The sequence below is a fragment of the Homo sapiens genome, chromosome 12, assembly GCF_000001405.40.
Source record: "Homo sapiens chromosome 12, GRCh38.p14 Primary Assembly".
In the NCBI taxonomy this organism is placed as follows: domain Eukaryota; kingdom Metazoa; phylum Chordata; class Mammalia; order Primates; family Hominidae; genus Homo; species Homo sapiens.
This window is the reverse complement of record NC_000012.12, coordinates 46,477,491-46,500,685: the sequence shown is the minus strand read 5'-3', so window position 1 is coordinate 46,500,685 and position 23,195 is coordinate 46,477,491. Positions and strand designations below refer to the sequence as shown.

Sequence of the window (23,195 nt, the reverse complement as noted above, 5' to 3'; positions counted from 1 at the left end):
TATCCACAATCGAAAGAAGAAAATGAGACTCCTATTATATGCCATACACAAAAATCAACCCAAAATACATTAAAGGTAAAACCCCAAACTGTAAAACTCTCAGAAGAAAACATAGGAGGAAAAGTCTCTAGACATTAGTCTTGGCAATAATTTCATGGATATAACACCAAAACTACAGGCAACAAAAACAAAAATAAACAGCACACCAAACTAAAAAGCTTCTGCATATCTGAGGAAACAATCAACAGAGGAAAAAAGGCAACCTACAGAACAACCAACCTACAGAGTGCTATTTGCAAACCATATATCTGATAAGTAGTTAATATCCAAAATACATAAGGAATTCCTACAACTCAAAATTCAAGAGTAAAACAAAAACAAACAAACAAAAACCCCAACTAATAACCCAATTTTTTAAATGGGCTGAGGACTTGAATAGACATTGCTCCACAGAAGACTTAAAAATGGCCATTAGGTATAAAAAAAGTTTTCAATGTCACTAAACATCAGGGAAATGCAAATCAAAAGAACAATGACTATCACCTCACACCTGTTAGAGTGGTTATTATGAAAAAACAAGACTACAAATAATGGTGAGGTCGTGGAGAAACTGAAACTCTTGCACACCACTGGTGGAACGCAAGGTGGTACAGCTGCTGTAGAAAACCATATGGAAGTTGCTCAAAAAAATAAAAATAGAGCTACCACATGATCCAGAAATCCCACTTCTGGGTATTTTACCTTTGAGAAATTTAGGAGTGCTAATATATTGTTTGTTTGTTTTTGAGACAGAGTTTCGCTCTTGTTGCCCAGGCTGGAGTGCAATGGTGCAATCTTGGCTCACCACAACCTCCGCCTCCCGGGTTCAAGCAGTTCTCATGCCTCGGCCTCCCAAGTAGCTGGGATTACAGGAATGAGCCACCATGCCCAGCTAATTTTGTATTTTTAATAGAGACGGAGTTTCTCCATGTTGGTCAGGCTGGTCTCGAACTCCCGAGCTCAGGGGGTCTGACCACCTCAGCCTCCCAAAGTGCTGGGATTACAGGTGTGAGCAACCATGCCTGGCCAATATATCCTTGAGATCCTAATTTCACTTCTTTTGGCTGGGTATTTTTGCCAAAAGAATTGAAATTAGGATTTCAAAGATATATTAGCACGCCTATGTTCACTGCAGCACTATTCACAATACCCATGATGTGGAAACAGCCTAAATGTTTATTGACAGATGAATGGATAAAGAAAATGTGGTATATATACACAATGGAAAACTATTCAATCTATAAATAAAGGAAATTCAACAATGTGAAACAACATGGGTAAGCCTTAAAGATATTATGCTCAGTGAAATAAGCCAGCCACAGAAAAACAAACACTGCATGATTCCATTTATATGAGGTATCTAAAAATAGTCAAATTCATAGAATCAGAGAGCAGAATTGTGGTGCCAAGGACTGGGGGTTGTGGGAAATAGGGAGTTACTAATCAATGGGCATGAAGTGTCAGTCAAGCATGATGAATAAGCTCTAGAAATCTGCTGTACAATATTTTACTTATCGTCAACAGTAATGTATTGCACACACTTAAAAATGTTTTAAGAGGGTAGTTCTCATATTAAGTGTTCTTACCATGATAAAATAAAATGAAAATGAAAGAAAGATAAATCAATTCAGTGAATAAATTAACAAGTACTCTTGAGTCCCCATGGGTGAAGCCAAGGACACATATAGATTGGGGTTTTGTTGTCACGGGGCATTTTGACTTGTATATGTGTTTACCTACTCAATATGTGTTACAGTATATGCTATTTCTCATTTCCTACATTTCTATTCCAATGACTTCATGGTAAGCTTCTGACGAAATGGCGTGGCTATGCTAGTGAAGATAATATTCCTTGAAACTACTTACTTGATATTGCAATAATTTCTCCCTACAAACATGCTAACTATAGCTCCTGAATGTATAAGAAACCATGAGGTTTTTTTATTATGTATGTGTGCATGTGTATAAACATTTCATGTAGAACTTGGAAGCTATAATTTCTAAATTCATTAACATGGTGGCTGCCCAGCTATAGTAAATTATATGCCTTCTTCCTCTTCGGGCCAAGCCCACAATGGTATGTGCTACATGATCGTTAGTGCCCCTCTCACCATAGCTCTTTGATCCAAAGTGACCCACATTGGCTCAATCAGACTTTCTCCTAGAAGAATTGGGAATCTGCTGCTAAAAGACCCAGCACCCCTAGAGCTGAGTCATTTGACATGGTCTGTACATTTCCATGGCATCTCACGTTCCCAAGACCTACCTATTCAACTCTTTCTTAGATCCTATGAGAGTCTTCCAGATCATTTTAATAAATTCCCTATTTTTAAGGTCACTTTCTGTGACTTCTCACCAAAAGAAACTCTTTAACTAACGTAGCAGCAGTGTTATAGAAAACTATCAGTATTATACTTTCCTTATTGGTTCAAATTTCTCAAAGGTAAAGGAAGACAATACACCTTGAAGTCCCACTTTAATGATTTTCTTAGGTACCATGCTGTTGGATCTAACAAAACTGTAGAAGAAGAAAGTAGACTGAAGGAACTACAGGATCTTTCATGCCAATAGAGCAATTCTATATATATATATCCGTAACATACAACCTAGTCCTAAGTGAAAAGCCTATGATGCAGTTCATCAGGTTCTTCCAGCAGTGGCCAGCCATGCTTTGAATACCAACCATTTTCTCAGAATCCTTTCTAGATTGAGAAACAATATATACTGTCATGTGTCCCTTAATGACAGGGATATATGGTAATAAGTGCTTTGTTAGGCAATCTTGTCATTGTAAGAACATCATAGAGCATATTTACACAAATATAGATGGTATGGCCTACTATACACCTATGCTACATGGTATGGCCTATTGCTTCTAGGTTTTAAATCTGTACAGCATGTTACTGTATTGAATACTGTAGGCAATTGTAACACAATGCTAATGATTTGTGTATCTAAACAGATATAAACATAGAAAAAGTATAGTAAAAGAAATCTAAAAGATTAAAAATGGAAGCCGGGGGCAGTAGCTCACACCTGTAATCCCAGCATTTTGGGAGGCCAAGGCGGGTGGATCACAAGGTCAGGAGATCGAGACTATCCTGGCTAACACAGTGAAACCCCATCTCTACTAAAAATACAAAAAAAATTAGCCGGGCATGGTGGCGCATGCCTGTAGTCCCAGCTACTTGGGAGGCTGAGGCAGGAGAATGGTATGTACCCGGGAGGCTGAGCTTGCAGTGAGCTGAGATGGCGCCACTGCACTCCAGCTTGGGAGACACAGCCAGACTCCGTCTCAGAAATAAATAAATAAATAAATAAAATAAGTAAAATAAAGATTAAAAATGGTACACCTGTATAGGGCATTTACCATGAATGGCGCTTGCAGGACTAGAAGTTACTCTGGGTAAGTCAGTGAGTGAACATGAAGGCCTAGGACATTACTGCACACCACTGTAGACTTCATAAACACTGTACACCTAGGCTACACTAAATTTATTAAACAACAGTTTTCCTTTTTCAATAATAAGTTAACTTTAGCTAACTGTAACATTTTTACTTTTTAATTGTTTTAACTTTTTGACTTGTAATAACACTTAGCTTAAAACACAAACATATTACATACCTATACAAAAATATTTTTTATTTACATTCTCATTCTATAAGCTTTTTTCTATTTTAAATTTTTTAACTTATTAAACTTTTTTGTTAAAAACTAAGCACAAACACACACATTAGCCCATGCCTACACAGGGACAGGATCATCAATATCCCTGTCTTCCAGCTCCACACCTTATCCCCTGGAGAGTCTTCAGGGGAATAACACGCATGGAGTTGTCACCTTCTATGTTAACAATGCCTTCTTCTGGAATACCTCCTGAGGACCTGCCTGAGACTGTTTTACAGCTAACTTTTTTTAAATAAGCAGGAGTACATCCTAAAATAACAATAAAAAGTATAGTTTACTAAATATATAATCCAGTAACATAGTTGCTTATTATCATTATAAAGTATTATGCACTATATGTAATCGCATTGCTATACTTTTATACAACTGTAGCACAGTAGGTTTGTTTATACCAGCATCACCACAAACACATGAGTAATGCATTACATTATGATGTTACCACCACTAGGCCACAGGAATTTTTTAGCTCCATTATAATCTAAAAGACCACCATCATATAATATGCAGACTGACTTTAACTGAAACATTATTATGTAGCACGACTCTCTCTCTCTCTCTCTCTCTCTCTCTATATATATATATATATATGTATATTTTGTTTTGTTTTGTTTTTGTATTTGTTTTTGTTTTTTTTGAGACAGTCTCGCTCTGTTGCCCAGGCTGGAGTGCAATGGTGCAATCTTGGCTCACTGCAACCTCCGCCTCCTAGTTCAAGCAATTCTCATGCCTCAGCCTCCCAAGTAGCTGAGATTACAGGCACCCACAAGCACACCTGGCTAATTTTTTGTAGAGATGGGGTTTCACTATGTTGGCCAGGCTAGTCCTGAACTCCTGAACTCAGGTATTTCACCTGCCTTGGCCTCCCAAAGTGCTGGGATTACAGGCATGAGCCACTGCACCCAGCAGCACATGACTATATATTTTATATTGCATATATATATAATATATATATATGTATATATATATATTATATATATATGTATATATATATAATATATATATATGTATATATATATATTATATATATATGTATATATATATATACATGCAAACTTGATTTTATAATTTAATCACAGTAGTAAGCCAATAAGAAATGTTTCTAAATTCTGGAGTATAAAAGTCTCTAATAATGTATTATTCTACCATATATGCAGTTTATACTTTTATGTTACTGATGCTAAAGGATCTTTTAAGTGTCCTTAAAACTGACCTTTTTGCATCATATATCAAAATCCCTAGTTAGTTGAAATAATCTTACTAACAACCAATGTTTAAGGATAACTTTCAGTATCTGATATTTATTGATACAAACACAAGAAGAAAAATTTTATTTCTGCATGTATGAGTGAATATTTTATTTTTTAAAAAACCCATTAAACGCCTGTAAATCCCAGCACTTTGCGAGGCCAAGGCAGGTGAATTACCTGAGGTCAGGAGTTCGAGACCAGCATGGCCAACATGGTGAAACCCCGTCTCTACTAAAAATACAAAAATTTGCCAGGCATGGTGGTGCATGTCTGTAATCCCAGCTGCTGGGGAGGCTGAGGCAGGAGAATCGCTTGATCCCAGGAGGCAGAGGAGGCAGAGGCTGCAGTGAGCCAAGATCACACCACTGCATTCCAGCTTGGGCGACAGAGTGAAACTCCATCTCAAAAACATAAAATTAAATTAAAATTAAATAAAATAAAGTAAAATAATAAATAATAACTCATGAAAATCTTTCCTCTATTTATTTTTAATAAATATGCAAGTAAGAAGACATTGAAGTTTTATTAGATGTTTCCTTTGGTATTTTTGTTTTGATTTGAAAATGCTTAAGATACTTAGAAAATTATCGAATCGTACACTGCAGCAGAAAGTAGTAAAAGTAACTTAAACTTGCAAGTCTTGTGTGTTATCAGTGGCACCAAATGTATCCATGAAACTGCTCTGCTCAGGATGATGGACAAAGGAACTCATCTTCACCATCAGCACCGGATTCTTCCCCAGCCTCCACTGAGCATACCTGTTGGCAATCCTCCTGATTTCTATAGCAAATGAATTTTTAACAATATCCCATAAGGATTTGCAGTAGAATATACAAGTAGCCAAAATTTTCAACAAAGCCTTTGTAGATAAAAGTGAGTCTCTGGGTTAATGGTAAGAGTCCCATGAAAGGAAATTTGCCATGGACTTCCCAAAAATGAGACTGCTCTTTTCCACTAAGAGAGACTAATAATGGCCTTTGAAACATTAACTATTTACTTAAATTTAGAGAAATCGGTGTTACCAAAAACTTTCAGCAAATAAAATTGAATCTACTTCAGAGAACAGTGGTACTGGCTGAAAACCATAGTTTACATTCCATCTTCAAAGTGAGATAATGCAGGAATGCCAAAAATTCAGCAGAGCCTTCTCAAGTAACAATCTTGTCCTGAAGAAACCATTGGGATTTTGAGCTGTGGAATTTTCCATCCATTTATCCTCTCATTATCTATCTTTTTTGCTTCAAATGTCAATTGACTCCTCTCACTCATAGTTGTACAAATTACAGGGCTTTTTTTTAATTGTCATAAAACATATACATTATTCATCTATTCAGTTTCATCTGAAGAGAATCCAACAAAGAAGAAATTTTATTTTCCAATAAAATATTAAAGCTGCTTTACCCCACAAGAGACAGAGCAGAAATTCCATCCATGATCTATGTAAGTACAAAACTTTTTGCCTATCAGAGCATGTGTGAATTTAATTTTATGAAAATGTAGACCTGTTTTTTCCTGTTATGCTTCATAGTACTTGTGTATGAATATGTAACAATTTCAATGTTTTTATTAGTTTGTGAAGCCTTGGTACCATGATGACAACAAGAACATCCTGTGCTTTTCCTAGCAAATATTGACTTAGAAGGACACTGTTGATATTTGTGCTGCATCCTTAATGGAAAGCACGTACATATTACAAGATTTGTTTCCCTCTAATGTAAATACAGTGGAGCAGAAAATTCAAGTGGTGATTATACACACGTCATTACCTTTGCCTCTGGGTTATGGATTGAACTAGAACCCAGGTTAAGGTCATCATGACCCCCCCCCACCCCGCCCCTTATCGGGCACTTCTATCACTAATGAAAAGAGGGTGTGCCAAGCTCAACACACACACACATCTTTCTAATTAACAGAATCCCGCTCTGATTCATAAAAGTCCTATCTAAAAGGGAGGGAGAAATGATGTTAGCATTGATACAGAGGTACATGTCAGCTCAGTGCACAAACATAGGTAAATTATGTAAGGATAAATCTTTCTCTTTTCCAGGAGACAGTTCACCACTCTCCCTCTGTAAAAGGATTGTGGGAGACACATAGGTAGTAAGGAGAAACCTCCATCTATCTCCCAACGAACCTCTGTGTCCCCATGTTCCACCCAACTCTCCATGATTGAATAATTAAGCCCTTAAGTAGTTACCATATGTCCTTAAATAGTTACAATCAACCTCAAATGAAAACACTCAGCAAAAAAAAGATGTGGGATCAATGCTCTTGGTCCAAAGATAAAAGATACATTATGAAAAACATAGGAATGACTTTATAAACAAAACAGAACTTTCTCAACAATCTTATTAACCAATACTCTTTCATCGTAAGTGATCACGGTTATTTGGCGTCAGAAGCAAAATATGGAGAGATCTTTCTGCAGACAAGTGGAGACAAGGCACAATAAAGGGAGAGTTAGGTGTGTAAAGAAAGTGATGAAATGGACATACTTTAGTGTTTAATTCATAAGGAAGAAAATACATCAACTAGAGCAGAGATTTAACCCCTTCTGGGTGGAATGTCAAATACACATATAAACAATTATTTCTGTTCCTTTCAGCATCAATGCACTCGATATAGTTTGAACTTTTATCTCAGTACTTGGGTTTGTTTCAAGGCTTGGTAAATATGCACCTCATAAGATAGTTTTATATATGAAAAGTTACAAATTCCAATGTCTGTAACTATTTGAAAAGCTCATTGATTCCGAGTCAAGGAAGTTACAATTTCTGATGATTCCATTTCAAACCGTACCCAAACCTACCATTAAACTCACATATGGGCAGAATTTCTGGGACTCACACTTTATGGGGGGTGAGAAGGGTGGTCCTGAACTAGCTGATATTAAACGGCCCTACATTCAAATACAGTGAACCCAGACCACATTCCAACAGCATTACCCAAGTGGTGAGGCTGAACTCTTCTGCAGATGCTTGTACACAAGACTTCATGTTTATTTTGTGACGTCACCTTCCTCTTTCCCCATTTCAAGTTGACCTTGTGTCGATTTTAACCTGGTTTTGTCTGTATAAACATGTTGGGATAAAGGAAAGAACTGTAGGATTTTTGGACCTCATATTCCTTAGTGGAGGACTTTGTATTACCTTTGATAAACGGGTTTGCTAAAACAAATATTTTAAGAAGTGGGAGAGAGAAAAGAGGGAGAGCAGGAGTGGTTATTTAGTTTCCTTGTTTTTCCCCAAGTTAAAAAGTCTTGAAGGACTAGCTCATCTTATGTTTATATACAAATAAAACTGATAAAAATGTGTGACTTTTGTTTATCCCTGGAAATCGAGCAAGGCAGGGAAGGAAGGGAACTGAGTGTGACAGGACAGCCTAGGTCCACAGAGCATAAGAAGGATGTGAGAGGATGTGATAAATTGGTAACCATGTAGAACTAGAGCAAACCCTCAAGGTCAACCACTTCAACCCAATTGTTTTAGAGTTGAAAACTGAGGTTCAAGGAGAATCTTTGCCCCAAAACAAATAACTGAACTACTAGAGTTATTATATAAAAATGATCATTGTAAACATTTTTAATAAGAACAACAAAAATCGAAATGTAACTTATCGGCCATTTGCTAACTGTGTTACGTGGAGCAAGTTACTTAAGCTTTCTGTGCCTCAGTCTCAACATCTGCAAAATTGAGATAATAATGGTGTCTATTCATAGGCTTGCCGGAAAGATCAAATCAGTTAATACCTGTAAAGTGTCTAGAACAGAACCTGGAAACAATCAGTGTTTGATAAATATCAATTGTTTATTATCATTATTATTATTATTACTACCACTACTACTGATTTCAGACAAGCCTTTCTCAAGTAAGTGAGATTTTGTTGATGAACTGGAAAACTCAATCCATTGTGGATTGGAATGTTGCCGTGACATGAACATCAGCTTTTAAGGATACACTAGGGCAGAGTCCAGCATCAGCTTAGAGCCAAACAAAGGAGGGAAGTAGGGACAGTCTTATCTCCATGACTAATACTCATTTTTAAAAATACTTAAATATCAATTTTCATGTTGCATTTTTAAAAACTCCAAGAATGGAATTGAAAACCCAATCTTTTTTAAGTCTGTTTCAATTTTTAGAAACCTTGACCAAGCCACTCTCTCTTACTTGGTAGTTTCCATATATAGCATAAATAACAATCTTAGCCAGGTGTGGTGGCTTGTGCCTGTAGTCTCAGCTACTTGGGAGGTTGAAGTGGGAGGATCAATTGGGCCCGAGAGGTCAAGTCTGCAGTGAGCCATGATCATGCCACTGCACTCCAACCTGGGCAACAGAGTGAGACCCTGTCTCAAAAAATTAATTAATTAATTAAATAACAATCTTTACCTGAATTGTAAAGATTAAATGTACCTGAAAGCATTTCTGGGTTATAAATTTTGCAGAGAATTGTACATTCTTTAAAGACACCATGCATTACAATTATAAAATATTTATCTTACCTTGAGATCACTGGGGGGCAAAATGTCATTTTTGTTTTTTTCCAAGGGCTTAGCATTGACCATGGAAATAGCATATGTAATCAGAATATTCACGGAAAATCTGTTCAAAAGAAAGAACTCCGAGCCGGGAATTGGAGGTCTGGGTTCTAGCCCCAGTTTTCTCATGGACACCTTCATATAGCTCTGGGCAAGTCATTTAGACTTCTTGGCACCATTTCCTTTACTGTAAAACACAGGGTGCATTAGCTGATCTCTTCCCCTCTAGTTCTATAATTCTAAATGTCATGCATATGTTTGCATGAATCCATGAGTCACTAAAACCTAGTCAATTTCAGAAAATTATTTAATAAACAAAATGTCTCATAAGCAGTTCAAGAGATCTTGGAACTGACTTTCAAATCATTGCATAATTGTGTTCAGGCAAAGACTTCAAACCCAGGAAGAACATCTTGGAATCGTTTCACCATTCTGCAGTGGAGAAAGGCTGTGAATTCACATATTCACACTCATTTAAACATCTCTCATTAATCTCTGAGGGCACTTAATAAAGATAAAAGGGTATTGCCTCTTTCAAAATGAAATAAAAGTATAAGAGCATGCTATATTTCTATAACATTCTCAGCATCTCAAAATGCTGTGATAACAATGTTACCTTTTTTTTTATTTCTCTCACTTCTGATTTGATCAATGTAACAACTTTGTGAAAGAGGCTAGACCCAGGAATTATTGTACTCATATTACAAATAAATATCCTGGGGACTAAATAAAATAACTTGCTTCCCACTTAGAGCTGCTGGTCCTCACACTTGGATCTCCTAACTCAGATGACACCTGACCCAGCCTGGGAGTGACCTCTGCGTTGCAGCTCATATGCACATCGACCATGTGCCTGCCTCACTGCTATAAGTAAGATCAGTCCCTAGTAAGGCCTGGCGAAGCTCCCCGTCAGAAACAAAAAGTCCTCCTTTTATTTTCCACCCCAAGTCACTGTCTGGGAACCTCTACAGAACTGAAGGGGTGTGGCCCTTTTGAAGGACTTCCATGAACAAAAAGGTTCCCAGATAAGAACAATAGACTTATTGATGACCAAATCTGAACCTGCTTACCATGCTCTGTGGTTTCTCCCTGTAAACGTTTTTCCCATAATCCAGTGGCTGCTTTGGAAGAGTTGTCCAGAACACTTTCATCAGGGCTATTTTTTCACCCTATGATTCTGGCCATCATCCAGTTTATTTTTTGAAAAAGAGCAGCCAGGAGTAAATCACATCCCAGAGGAAAAAAAAAATCCTACAAGGTTCAAAACATTTTATATTCATGGGAATAATTAGGAAAATTCTAGAATTATACCTGTTAGCCAATTAAGGAGTGACCAACTTCAAATCACAAATACAGGTTCCTGAAAACAACATGTAATTTTATGTAACTGACTTACCAGCCTGGGGATAGAAACAAGGCCATGATGCATTTGAAGGGCCTGCCCAGGGCTTGGTTGGTAACTAGAATCCAGCAGAGCTGCTGGGCTTGGAAGGAAAGGATTGCACAGAGATTAACTCCACCGAAACATGCCTGTTTTTGCATAATATTTATGTTTCCGCCCTCATAATGGCTTCATTTCATTTATTCTCCAAACCAAATGGCAGAGACAGCTACTCTTTGTGGTACACATGGTTACATTGCTCCTTTTGCCAATTCCATGAGAAGATCATTGTCACTTTTTCTCTGGCTATTGAAAACAAAATAAACATAGGTCTGAATCTTTGACTCATTTTTCACTTAGAATGGAAGATATTGGTAGCCATATATATCATTTCACTTAATTCAGATCCGCAAATATTGAGAAACTTCTATGGGTAAGCCATCATGTTAAGTGCTTCAGGGACCTAAATCTGAGCAAGACGCAACCCCAGTTCACAAAATGCTAAATGAAGTGGCCGATTGCTGGGAAATACTGCAGGGAACTAGGGATCAGAAACAGATTGTGGGGAACCAGAGGGGATGGCAAGTCTTCAAATTACTCTTAAGAATCAAAGGTCTAACAGAAGTAAACCTCATGATCAAATACAACACAGATATAAGGTTAGGGACCACATGAAATTTTCTTGCTCTATAGTACTTAAAATAATTTTTTTTTAAAGTAAGAAAGAGAGGCACTTTGAAGTTCCCAAAATGGAATGGCTCTTAAGTCAAAGGTTGAGCAGACTTTTAATAAACTGGTAATATAGCTATAGATACAGATATAAATTCACAATTTTAAATGACACTTTTGCCTACATCATCCACTTTTGCATACAAAAAGGTGAGGTCCCTCCATGTCAGAAGCACCCCACGAGCAAACACAAGGACTGGGAATTATCAGACAGTCATATGAACTAGTACATAATTTTCCATGCACACAACAAAACTTTAGTGAGTAACTACTGTGTTCTAAGTGTGAAGTATAGGTGATACAAGGATTTTGAGGCACAGATGTCTGCCTTCAAGTGTAACACAGTCTGTAGGAAAGGCTGCCATATGTGGCTCATATATGTCAGATGGTATTAGGAGATAAAGGTGGGAGGCTATGCCAGCATCATGTTAAGAGGGTCCTTAAAAACAGGCTAAGGGTTAGTATTTAATTCAGTGACAATAGAGGATCATTAAAGTTGTTAGGCTAAGGAGTAATATCATCTGGATTGAGTATACAGTTCATTTAAAGTAAAAATATAGAATTCGGCAGGGCTTGGTGGCTCACGCCTATAATCCCAGCACTTTGGGAGTCCAAGGCAGGCGGATCATGAGGTCAGGAGTTCAAGACCAGCCTGGCCAATATGGTGAAACCCTGTCTCTACTAAAAATACAAAAATTAGCCAGGCATAGTGGTGCATGCCTGTAGTCCCAGCTACTTGGGAGACTGAGGCACGAGAATCGCTTGAACCTGGGAGGCGGAGGTTGCAGTGAGCTGAGATCATGCCACTGCACTCCAGCCTGGGTGACAGAGCAAGACTCCATCTCAAAAAAAAAAAAGAAATATATGTGTGTGTGTGTGTGTGTGTGTGTGTGTGTGTGTGTGTGTGTGTGTGTAGAGAGAGAGAGAGAGACAATTCATTCAGAGCAAAATCGAATAAGGAAAAAGACTGGTTTCGAGACAACTGCAAAGCACCCAGGCAAGAGGTAAGAGGAAATATGGTAAGAAGTAAAAGGAAGTATGGTAGCACTCAAGAGAATTAATGAAAAAAGAGGAACTCAACTGAAATTGACAGTGTAGAACACTGACTTGTTTCAGAGGAAAAGAAAATATTTGGTATGGGCCATGCTGAGTTTGAGATGCCATTGGTGTCTAGCCATCAGTTGGATATTCGGGTCTGAGGTACTCGGGTCCTGGCAAGAAAGATACATATGAGTACTATCCTCATGGGAGTGATGGTTAAGGCCACAGGATTGAACAAGATAGCTGAGGTAGCAAGTGTAGGTCTAGAAGCAGGAAGAAGAAAACATTCCGGAGGACACGTACATGTATAGAGAAGTAGAAAGAGAAGTATGTAAAGAGAAAGGAGAACTGAGAAAAGAATGCCAGGGAAGCAGAGAGGGGGATGCTTAAATGAGAGAAGCAACAATCAAATGCTAAGAAGAAGCCAGAGACGCATAGCCTGAGATGAGCACTTGGATCCAGTGCATAGGTCAACAGTTGCCTCTGAAAAAGACACTTTAGTGGGGCTGAGAATAGAAAAGTCAGCATTCAAGATAGTGAAAAATGAGTAGGTACACAGCACAGAAATGGACTTTAGGGAGTTTGATAGAGGATTATAGAATGAAGATGGAAATGACAAGGGAAGAATTGATGGGGAAAGGTCAAGGGAATCAGGCTGGCAGTTAGAGGGGTTAACCTGACAAAGAAAAAGGACACATACTCCTCAGAAGCAAATTAGAAAGAAGAAAGCATAGGAAGGGGCAGTGAAAATACAAAGATTCTCTCCCTAGACCCTGTCACCCATGCCTATGGGCACAATTACCGCCTCTCCTGGAATTACCCACAAATGTCTGTCTGTCTGCTGCCCTAACCTCTTCCTGAGCTCCTAAGCTATATATAAAACTACCTACTAGAAAACACGTGGATACCTTCAAGGCTCCTCAACTTCAACCTGCCCAAATCAAATTCATGACCTTTTCTTCCAAACAGTGTCATCCTGTACTGTTCCCTGCCCGATAAATGATATCATTATCCATCAAAACTGCCAAAGTTCAAAAGTCAGGACTTGCTTCTACACCTCTATTGCTCTCAACTTCACCCCCAACCAAAGGGCTTTTAATTTGTCTCCTCAAATCTGCTTTTGCCCCCTTCTAAGCTCTGCACTGCAGCTAGAGTGACCTTTTCAAAACTCAACTCTGATCATGGTCACTCCTGCTTAGATCCCTGCAGTGACTTCCTCTTGGGCAGGGCCACAGTCTGACTTGACTGTTCAGGCAATATGTGGCCTGGCTCTGCCCACCTCCCTGCCTCACCCCACATTCTCCCCCACCCACATGCCCTGGCTAGTGTGTCTTCTCTGTGCTTCCTCACATAATTCCAGTTCTCTTCCACCTCTGGGCTCTGCACATGCTGTTCCACCTGCCTGGTACTTCCTTCCCACCATCCTTTCCACCTGGTTAACTTCTACTTCAGGGAGAATAGAAGACAGCATTATATCATGGTGATTAGGACCCCAGGCTTTGGAATCAAACTGAGTTCCAAAACCCACTCCTCTACTCACCCACTGGGGGGTCCTAAACAAGTTATATACTGTATCTAAGCCTAAGTTTCTCACCTGTATGTTAACATGAGTCCATACTTCACAGAGATTATTCATAGAAAGCACTAAAATCTGAGACTGGCACATAATGCCCACTTCGTAAATGTCTGCAATTTTTTGTTAATCTTTTTTCCAGCCATGGGTCAATCATCACTTCATGAAGAAGCCTCTGCCCAGGTCACCACCCCTTCCTCTGCACCCGCAGTCTCCTTTTTTGCACCCAACACAGATTTACTTCTGCACTTACGTATGAGATTTTTAGAATACACCTGTCTTCTCCACCAGAAGGCTCATTGACAGCAGGATTCGCCTGCTTTGCTCGTGCAGAGAGCCCAGCCTCTAGCACAATACCTGACACAGAGTAGACACTCTACCAGTACTTCCTCAATGAAGGAATGAATGAATGAGCAAACCACAGTAGCCCAGCTGTGGTTAGAGTGGAAGTAAGCATATCCAGCTTGTCCTGTAAGCAACAGCCCAGTATTTGGTCATTTGGCCATTGCGTCCTTGCATTAGTGGGGGCCTGATGAGCAGTTTGTCATCTCATCTATGAATGCCAGTAAATCATTATCAGCAATATTTATTTTTTAAAAACTAGGCGAGCCTGAGGTAAAATTCATATTTTTGCAGGCCTCGTTGGCCAAGGACATTCGGTCTTCCCTGGCTGAGGCTGATGAAGATGATGACAGCAGAGATGATAATGTTGTAATTAACAAAGCTTATGAATATTAGCACATTAAACTCTAGAACACTTTGGTCTAATAAATGGGACATACAGAACAGAAGCTCCTGAAGGTCATCTCATATGCCAAGTGAGAAATAGGGAGAGAGCCCTGTCACTTGCTCTCTTTGGCGCATCTTAATTTCTGTGTTGTAGATACATACACACACGCCTCACCAGGTCCCTGTGCCTGGATGTGACCTTCCATGGTCTTCTGACTATTAACTGTGACATATGAAGTTCATGAGTCAGACCCCATAGTCTGCATCCCTGCTTATCACTACGTGACCTTCCCTCCCCTCAGGTCTCTTCCAAAGAAGACCACTGAGTTGGCTCACACTTTATTTTAGGGAATGTTTTCTGACTACTTCTCTTGGTGTCTGTTAATGGGCAAATATCAAATCCATGGGAAATTCCTACACAGTTCTCAACAAATATGAGGAAAAGCAAACGAAAGATCCCTATAACTCTTTATACATCGCCTTTACAGCATGTAAACCCTTTGATTAACATCTCCTGGCCGTGTGCAGTGGCTCACACCTGTAATCACAGCACTTTGAAAGGCTGAGGTGGGAGGATCACTTGAGCCCAGGAGTTTGAGACCAGCTTGAGCAACATAGTGAGACCAATATCAATCGAGAAAAATGACGAGACAAGTCTCAATCATTTTAGGAGGTTTATTTGCCACAGTTAAGGATGTATGCCCGGGAGACAGGTCTATGCCTTTCTCTGAAGATGATTCTGAGGGCTCCAAATTTAAAGGGGAAAGGGCAGGATATTCAGAAGTACACAATTTTCATGTAAGAGCGGGGGTAGGGAAAAATAGTCGTTCATGCCTTTGTCCGGCTCAGTGACTCTGCATTTTTTTATATAAGGTGATATAGACAAATGGGGCAGAGGAAAAATGCAGGGTATCTGTATTTTACATAAGATAACATAGACAAAATGGGGCAGGAGAACAATCAGATATGCCTTTGTGTCTGGTGGGCAGGGAGATGACTGCACCTGTAAGGATAAGCTATAAATTTACATTGCAATGGCGAAATTGTGAAATTTTAACAGAAACACCTTAAAAGATCTTGAAGCTCACTAGGAATTTCCTTGTGGGCAAAATATGGCAGAGATGTATAGCTTTTCATCTTGTAGCCATCTTATTTAGGAAGCAAAAAGGTGGAAGCAGGTTGCATCATCCAGTTCTCGGCCCAGCTTTTCCCTTTGGCTTAATGAGTTTAGGGTCCCAAGATTTCATTTCCTTTCACACCCCCATCTCTACAAAAAAAAATAAAAATAAAAATTAGCCAGGCCTGTACTAATAGCTAAGAGTACTAGCACGCACTTGCAGTCCTAGCTATTCAGGAGGCTGAGGTGGGAGGGTCCCTGGAGCCCAGGAGTTCAAAGCTGCAGTGAGCCATGATCACACCACTGCACTCCACCCTGGGTGAAAGAGCATGACCCTGTCTCTTAAAAAAAAAGAAAAAACCCTCCCTTTGCCTCTAATGACAAAACGGTCTTTCCCTTGGTGGAATAGCTTGGGAGCTTTGGGAAGACTGAATGCACAGTAGGTTCTGCATTGTCATTAGAATCTATGCTAAAGTTATCAATGGCCTTTATTTTATTGAGTACCTAGTAAATGTAGCAAACCAAAGGCCCGAGATGCATTTACTTTACTTGCCATTAAATTAGGCAGTAGCTTCAATGACATAAGGGTAAAATCTAATGAGCTTTGTACTCTTGTTAGAACAGGTAAGGAGAATTGAGGTCTCAGCATTCACAGATGATGTTATGGCCCTTTGTGTCCTAGGACTGTTTATCTTAGGAGCTCTGTTTGACCCCTGGCAGACTGTTGTCTTTAGCTGAAACAGTAAAGTGTGATTCACCACAATATGGTAATGTTGAGAAATCCAAGGAAAACCTTTCATTTCCAGAACTTAGTGACCCTTTTTGAAGAAATCTATTATTGTCTAGCAATTTTATTACAAAAGCACATTAGGGTTTAAAAATGTGAAGTGGGTGTGGAAAAAAAAGGCTTATGTAACATTAGACGCAAAAAAAAGATTATAAAGTCTTGTCTATGCTAAGATTGTAACTATGTGAAAATTAGATAACATATTGACAGTAACTGGAAGGAAACATTAAAACAGCTGATTTTAGAATGGCAAGATAAGAGACTTTTTTCTCTTTTCTTTTTTTCTTGGTTGATTTCTGTTATTGTTGTTATAGTATTATTTGTACAATACAAGATTGTCAGCTAAACATGTATATTTTGCTTAAAATTATAATTCACTTATACTACAGACATTAAAAAATTATCCTCCACCTTAAAATCAAATATAGAAAATACGGAGCTTTGCTACCTTATCTTTAAAAACTATTATTTATTCTGTGAAATAAAAAAGGGAACAACTGCTAGCACAGTTCTTAAAACTAGCAGAAAACAATTTATCTCCTTCAGCATCACTGAAAACAGACTAAAAATTCTTATTTCTTTAATGAGAAATGGTAGAACAAAATAACTTATTATTAAATGTTCTTTCTCATTATCTAGTAGGCCAGAGAACATCTCTGAAAAAAAAACCACCATACATTTGAGAAATCTTTACTGGGGTTAAGCCAGAAAAGACTTCACCTTATATTTGCCTGGTGACTACCAGTGCTTAAAGACAGAGAATGCTGGCTGGTTTCTAACAACCAGAATTAAATCCCTAAATTATAAGTCTGAAAATTCAACTCAGAAAATAACCACACAGTTCCCCTGTTTCTTAGCCCTCTATTCAGTACTTAAACCCACAGGGACCTGTTGCCTATAAACAAAACTGAATATAGAATTAGGATAAATCTCACACGCAATGGGCATTTCCTGCTGTCCAGAAATCTCCATTTACTTTTTAAATAAAAGGACTCCTATCCATAAGAATTGGCTGCCTTTTCTTTTTGGTGTGTCATTAAAACTCAGGTCTTTCTTTGTATACCTTCCATGCAATTCAATCCAACAAAAATGCATCCAGTTGAGTGGCTTCCCAGACCTGTTAGGTCAACAAGCTCTACCAGGAGGCTATGGAAACACCTATTGGCCCTTGAACACTGTGTCTCATCCATTGGTTAGCATAGCTCATGCTGGACATCTAAACAGTTCAATCAGGAATTGCTGGACTGCGTGTTCCTAACCTTCCTCTTTGCATGACTGGTTATATGTGGTGAGAGTTATCAGTGGCAAAAAAAAGTAAGTCAAAGCTAAAATAATAAGCAATCTTCAGAGCAACAAATGAACTACCCATTATTAGTAAATTGACTGCCATGCTAAAAAGAGTGAATTCCATTCTAAGAGCAATGGGGACCAATGGGGAATGAATTTGAAAAGGAAGAGGATAATGTAACTTGGGTTTAGGATAAGAACTAAACCCAAAGGCAAGATGAATATAGATTACAGAGGACAGAAATAGGAATTGGGGAACTAATAAATTTCCCCAATTGGGTCAGTTGGAATTGGAATTGTTGAACTGACCCAAACCAAGGCAATGAGGGTAAGAATAGAAATGGGATAGATAATACTTTAAATGGATAAAAGGATGCAACAAATTTGATGCAGATTAATGAAGAAAAGCACAGTGTGAAGACAGTTAAGAAGACATTAGTGTTCCTAGCCTGGATTACTGAGTCTGAGTGATGCCATTAATATAATTGAGGAACTAAGGGGAAAAAATTGGTTTAGGGAAGAAGACAATGAGTTTGATTTTGGATATAATAGGTTGAAAGTGTCTTAGGGACATCCATGGGGAATGGCCCAGCAGACAATTAAGATATGCCAGGGCTAGAAAAGAACATTTAACAGTACAGACTTTGAAATTAAATCCTGGTTCTGCCACTTAGATTAAGTGGCCTTGTATGAGATATTTAAACTTCTGAACCTTCTATTTCTTTATCTAAAAAAATGAAGATAATTACATTGTAGAATTTTGTGAGCATTAAATAAGAAACGTGTGGAAAGCACTTACAATGTCTGACACATAATTAAGTACTAAAAATAAAAAATGATCTTCCATTGAACCACTGCAATAATCTCTTCCTATTCTGTTTCATACTTTGCCTCCTTCAGTCCACCTCTGCATGGCAATCGAAGAGATCTTGTCATAACAAAGATGAACTCCCCATCACTTCTCTGCTTAAAAATCCTCTAAGGTATCCCTCTGAACCATGGTCTGTAAGATCTGGCATTTCTATTCTTTGGCCCTTGACCATGCTAGTCTCATTCTACCCTCAGGGCCTTTGCCCTTGCTGTTCTCTCTGTCTGAAATGGTCTCCTCTAGATTTTTCAAGGTTGGCTTTTTTCATCCTTTTGCTGTTAGCTCATATGATACCAACTAATGGAAGCTTTTTGGTGATTGTTTCTTCATCTATCCCAGGTACCTTCTATCCTGTTATTCTGTTTTTATTTTATCTATAGAACATTACTATTTGAAATGAAAAATTTAAATATGTTTACGTGATGTTTTCTGTTCCCTCTGTTCAATAAGAATATCAGTTCCTTAACAGCTTGTCTGTCTTATTTCCTGCTCTATCCTCAGTACCTGGCATAGAGTAGTTTCTCCATAGTCATTGAATGAATGAATGAATGAATGCAAATATATGGAAGAATTGTGGACCCTTAAATATAAAGTGTGCATTTCACTTCCAGTAAGATGAAATAGTCTGATTCAGAAACATAAACTCATGATGTTGAGCTACTGTAATCTGGATGTCCCAATGAGGTAAGCCAATTAACCTCTCTGGCCCCCATTGTCCTTCTCACTGTAAAAGAATGAACAATTGCCACTCTCTTGCCCAAGACGGATGCAGTGAAGAATACATGAGATGAAATCTGGCATATGTCTGGAGTTTTACAAGAGGAAGACATTCTATTTAACTGTTCAACCCATCATAAAGATGACTGGCACAGGCCAAAATGGCATAATCAAAATCCCTAAAGTCACATCAAATCACTAGACTATGAATCCCCAAAATGTCCTGAAACAATAGTCTATCAGAATTTCCACTGAGCTACAATGATAATGTAAATCCCAGGATCACAATTCACTGTGGTAGTTCCTGAAATATTATGAAAAACAAGGCCACTCCCCAAATGGATTAGTAATCACAAAGAGAATGCAAAATGCCTCCTGACAAAGCATGATCAACACCTCAATTTCCAGACTCCTCGTGTCCCTCTCTCTGTGGACACCATCAATCAATGTCCCTTTGGTACACAGGAGCCCACTGCTGGAGCATTCGGTCAGCACCTACTAGGAGGCTTACTCTCAGAAAAGCTTTTTGACATACATCCAAACAAACTGAAGAAAATATTGAAGTCTTGAGCTCCATTTCAGGCCCAGCAAATGGAAGCTGGCCTTATAGGTGAACAGATAACGGCTCAGCTCAGGATGACTCTGACTTAAGCAACATCCCTCTCTGGTTACCCACCTTCTGTGAAGGCTCTATGAGAACAAAGAGATCCAGAAAGTTCATCATACCTGGTATAGAAATTAAAAGAATGAGTGTTTCACTTAGGTAGCCCCAGGTTATTTTGATTTTGTTGTTTAGCAGTTACATAACTTTGGGCAAGTTATTCTAAACTTTCAGGGGCTTCAGATTTTAATTTGTAATGTGAGGATAATACTGCCGGTCTTTAATTGGTTGTTTTAAGGATGAAAGAGATAGAATAAAATGTTAAGCATGCTCAACGAACACCAACTATTCATATGAACCAATAGCTAATAATAATCAATTATCATTAATACCTGAATCCAAGTTATTTCTCTTTAATTCATCCAGCAAATATTAATTGGGCATCTGCTTGATGACAGGATTTGTGTTAGAAGTTGGGGATGCACAAATGAACATGGTAAACTGATTCCTATCTTTGTGCATATTTGTAAATAGGTAATTATGGTATGGCATAATAAATGTTACCATGGGAAGAGTTCAGAGTGCACTGAGAGCAACCGGATGGAAAATCAAACATGGCCCAGGGAGTCAGGAAGGCTTCTTGGAAGAAGTGATGCTTAAGCTACGGATCAAGGAAGTCATCCAAAAGGTTGGGAGGATGGAGTAAAGAAAATCCTATGCAGAAGAAATACTATTTGCAGATAACTGAAGAATAGAGAGCAAGGCATTCTCAAGTTGCAGAAAATAGGTTTGCGTATGGCACAAAGTCTGGTAAAAAGGGGTTTTGCAAGTTCTTGTTAAAAAAGTTTTTACTTTAATCTGAGAACTACCTGAAACATGGTTAGATTCAAGCCAAAGAGTGGTTTGGATGTATTTATGTTTTAGAATAACTCTGGCTGCAGCGTAAAAAAAAATAGACTAAGCAAAGAAACCACTATGAGTCTATGAATTAAACAGATATCCTACAAGGATGTAGACCAGTGGACATATTCTACAGATATCTAGAAGGGACAATGACAATGACAGGACTTTGCAATTGATAGGAAGGTAGAATGAGGGAGAGAAAGGAGTGGAAAATGAACATCAGGTTAAATGGTAGTGCCACTCACTGAAATAGGAAGCACAGAAGAGGAACAACCTTTGAATGTTCAATACAGGATAAGCTGAGTTTGAAATGCCCACAGAGCTCTCAGGTGGAATATTCAGCAATAAGGTGATTAATCAGGCCCAATGATATGGTTCAGCTGTGTCCTCACCCAAACCCCATCTTGAATTATAATTCCCCTAATCCCCATGTGTCATGGGAGGGACTTGGTGGGAGGTAATTGAATCATGGGGGCAGTTACCCCCATGCTGCTGTTCTCATGATAGTGAGTGAGTTTGCACAAGATCTGATGGTTTTATAAGGGGCTTTTCCCTCTTTGCTCAGCACTTTTTTTTTTTTTAGACAGAGTCTCACTCTGTCACCCAGGCTGAAGAGTGCAGTGGCATGATCTCTGATCACTGCAACCTCCAGCTTCCGGATTCAAGTGATTCTCCTGCCTCAGCCACCCGAGTAGCTGGGATTACAGGTACCCACCACCATACCTTGCTAATTTTTGTATTTTTAGTAGAGATGGGGTTTTGCCAAGTTGGCCAGGCTAGTCTCGAACTCCTGACCTCAGGTGATCCATCCACCTCAGCCTCCCAAAGTGCTGGGTTTACAGGCATGAGCCATCACACCTAGCCAGGAATTTCTTAATGAAAATTTGCTTGTGTATGTGTGTCCTAGGTGGCATTATAAATTGTATTATTTATTGTATGTCACAGTAAAAAAAAAAAAGTACCTGTACCTGTAATATAATATAGACTCCAATGTGTTTGTTGAATGGATAAATGAAGTGATTTTATAAAATTTATTTGATTTAATAAAATCTACCCCCAACTACAGCCTTGTGAAGTAGGAATTGTTGTGCCCATTTTAAAGATGAGAAAACTAAGACTATAAGGGTTAAGTGACTTGTCCAGATAACAAAACATGTAAGAGTAGGAATTGAGAGTAAAATCCAAATGTGGCTGGCTCTAAATTCAAGGATCTTAACCACAGATGGGTTGTTCTTGAAGCACTGGACATAGGCTGGCTCACATAATGTCAGGAGAAATGAGAAGCTCGGAGGGAACCCGAAGAAGCCTGGTGTTGGAAGATGGGCACAGGAGGAAGAGTCTCAGAGACACCAGAGGAGCTGCCAGAGAGGAGTCTTGGGAAGGAAAAGGAGCACATCAAGAAGGAGGGAGAGGTCCCAGTTGTGAAAAGGCCCAAACTTCAAGAAGAATAAAGACTGAAAATTTGTTAAAGATGTTGGCAAGAATCATTTCAGTGAACTTATAGAACACTGAGGACTGAGAGTAAAGGAGAGGTAAATATAGACAACTCTCAGGAAGTTTGGCTATGAATCAGAGGGAAGAAGACACAGTCAAGGCAATGTTTCTGCTTATTTATTTACTTGTAAGATAGGACATTCTGAGGGTGACTATATACTGATGTAAAAGTTGATATACTGAGAGAGGATAGTTAAAGGAGCAGGGTTCTTGAGAAGATGAGAGGTGACAAAATCCAGGTAAGAGGTGGGGTGATTGGCCTTGGATAAAGGAAGGAATGCTCTCTTGTTTAATGAGGGGGAAAGGGAGAAAAGGTAAATGCAGAGACAAACTACAAGGCTCTATAGCAAGATGTTGCCAGAGCTCCTCTCTGATGGCCTCTTTTTTCTCTAAGACACAGAAGGAGAGCTTGTGCTGTGAATGAAGAGAGGGTAGGGAATGTGTGGAATTGCCTCCATTA

The 23,195-nt window shown here is 38.8% G+C and overlaps 2 long non-coding RNA genes across 7 annotated transcripts in view, besides 1 other annotated feature; one reads left to right on the top strand and one right to left on the bottom strand.

Annotated features, from left to right (window-relative positions):
- Positions 1–23,195, bottom strand: part of SLC38A4-AS1 (SLC38A4 antisense RNA 1) — a 268,904-nt gene that overhangs the window by 151,894 nt on the left and 93,815 nt on the right. The gene's annotated exons all lie outside the window — the stretch shown is intronic.
- The window catches only part of LOC124902923 (uncharacterized), a 64,239-nt gene continuing 47,259 nt past the window's right edge, over positions 6,216–23,195 (top strand). For both annotated transcript variants that reach the window (XR_007063284.1, XR_007063283.1), the window contains exon 1: positions 6,216–6,414. This is a non-coding gene — a long non-coding RNA (uncharacterized LOC124902923). The remainder of the gene's footprint in view (positions 6,415–23,195) is intronic.
- Positions 10,406–10,700: a silencer, noted in NCBI's record as "tiled region #10724; HepG2 Repressive DNase matched - State 6:EnhF, and K562 Repressive non-DNase unmatched - State 23:Low". NCBI's record gives its function as "represses a minimal TATA promoter and a strong SV40 promoter by Sharpr-MPRA in HepG2 and K562 cells {active_cell/tissue: HepG2 | K562}" and the evidence as "EXISTENCE:reporter gene assay evidence [ECO:0000049][PMID:27701403]".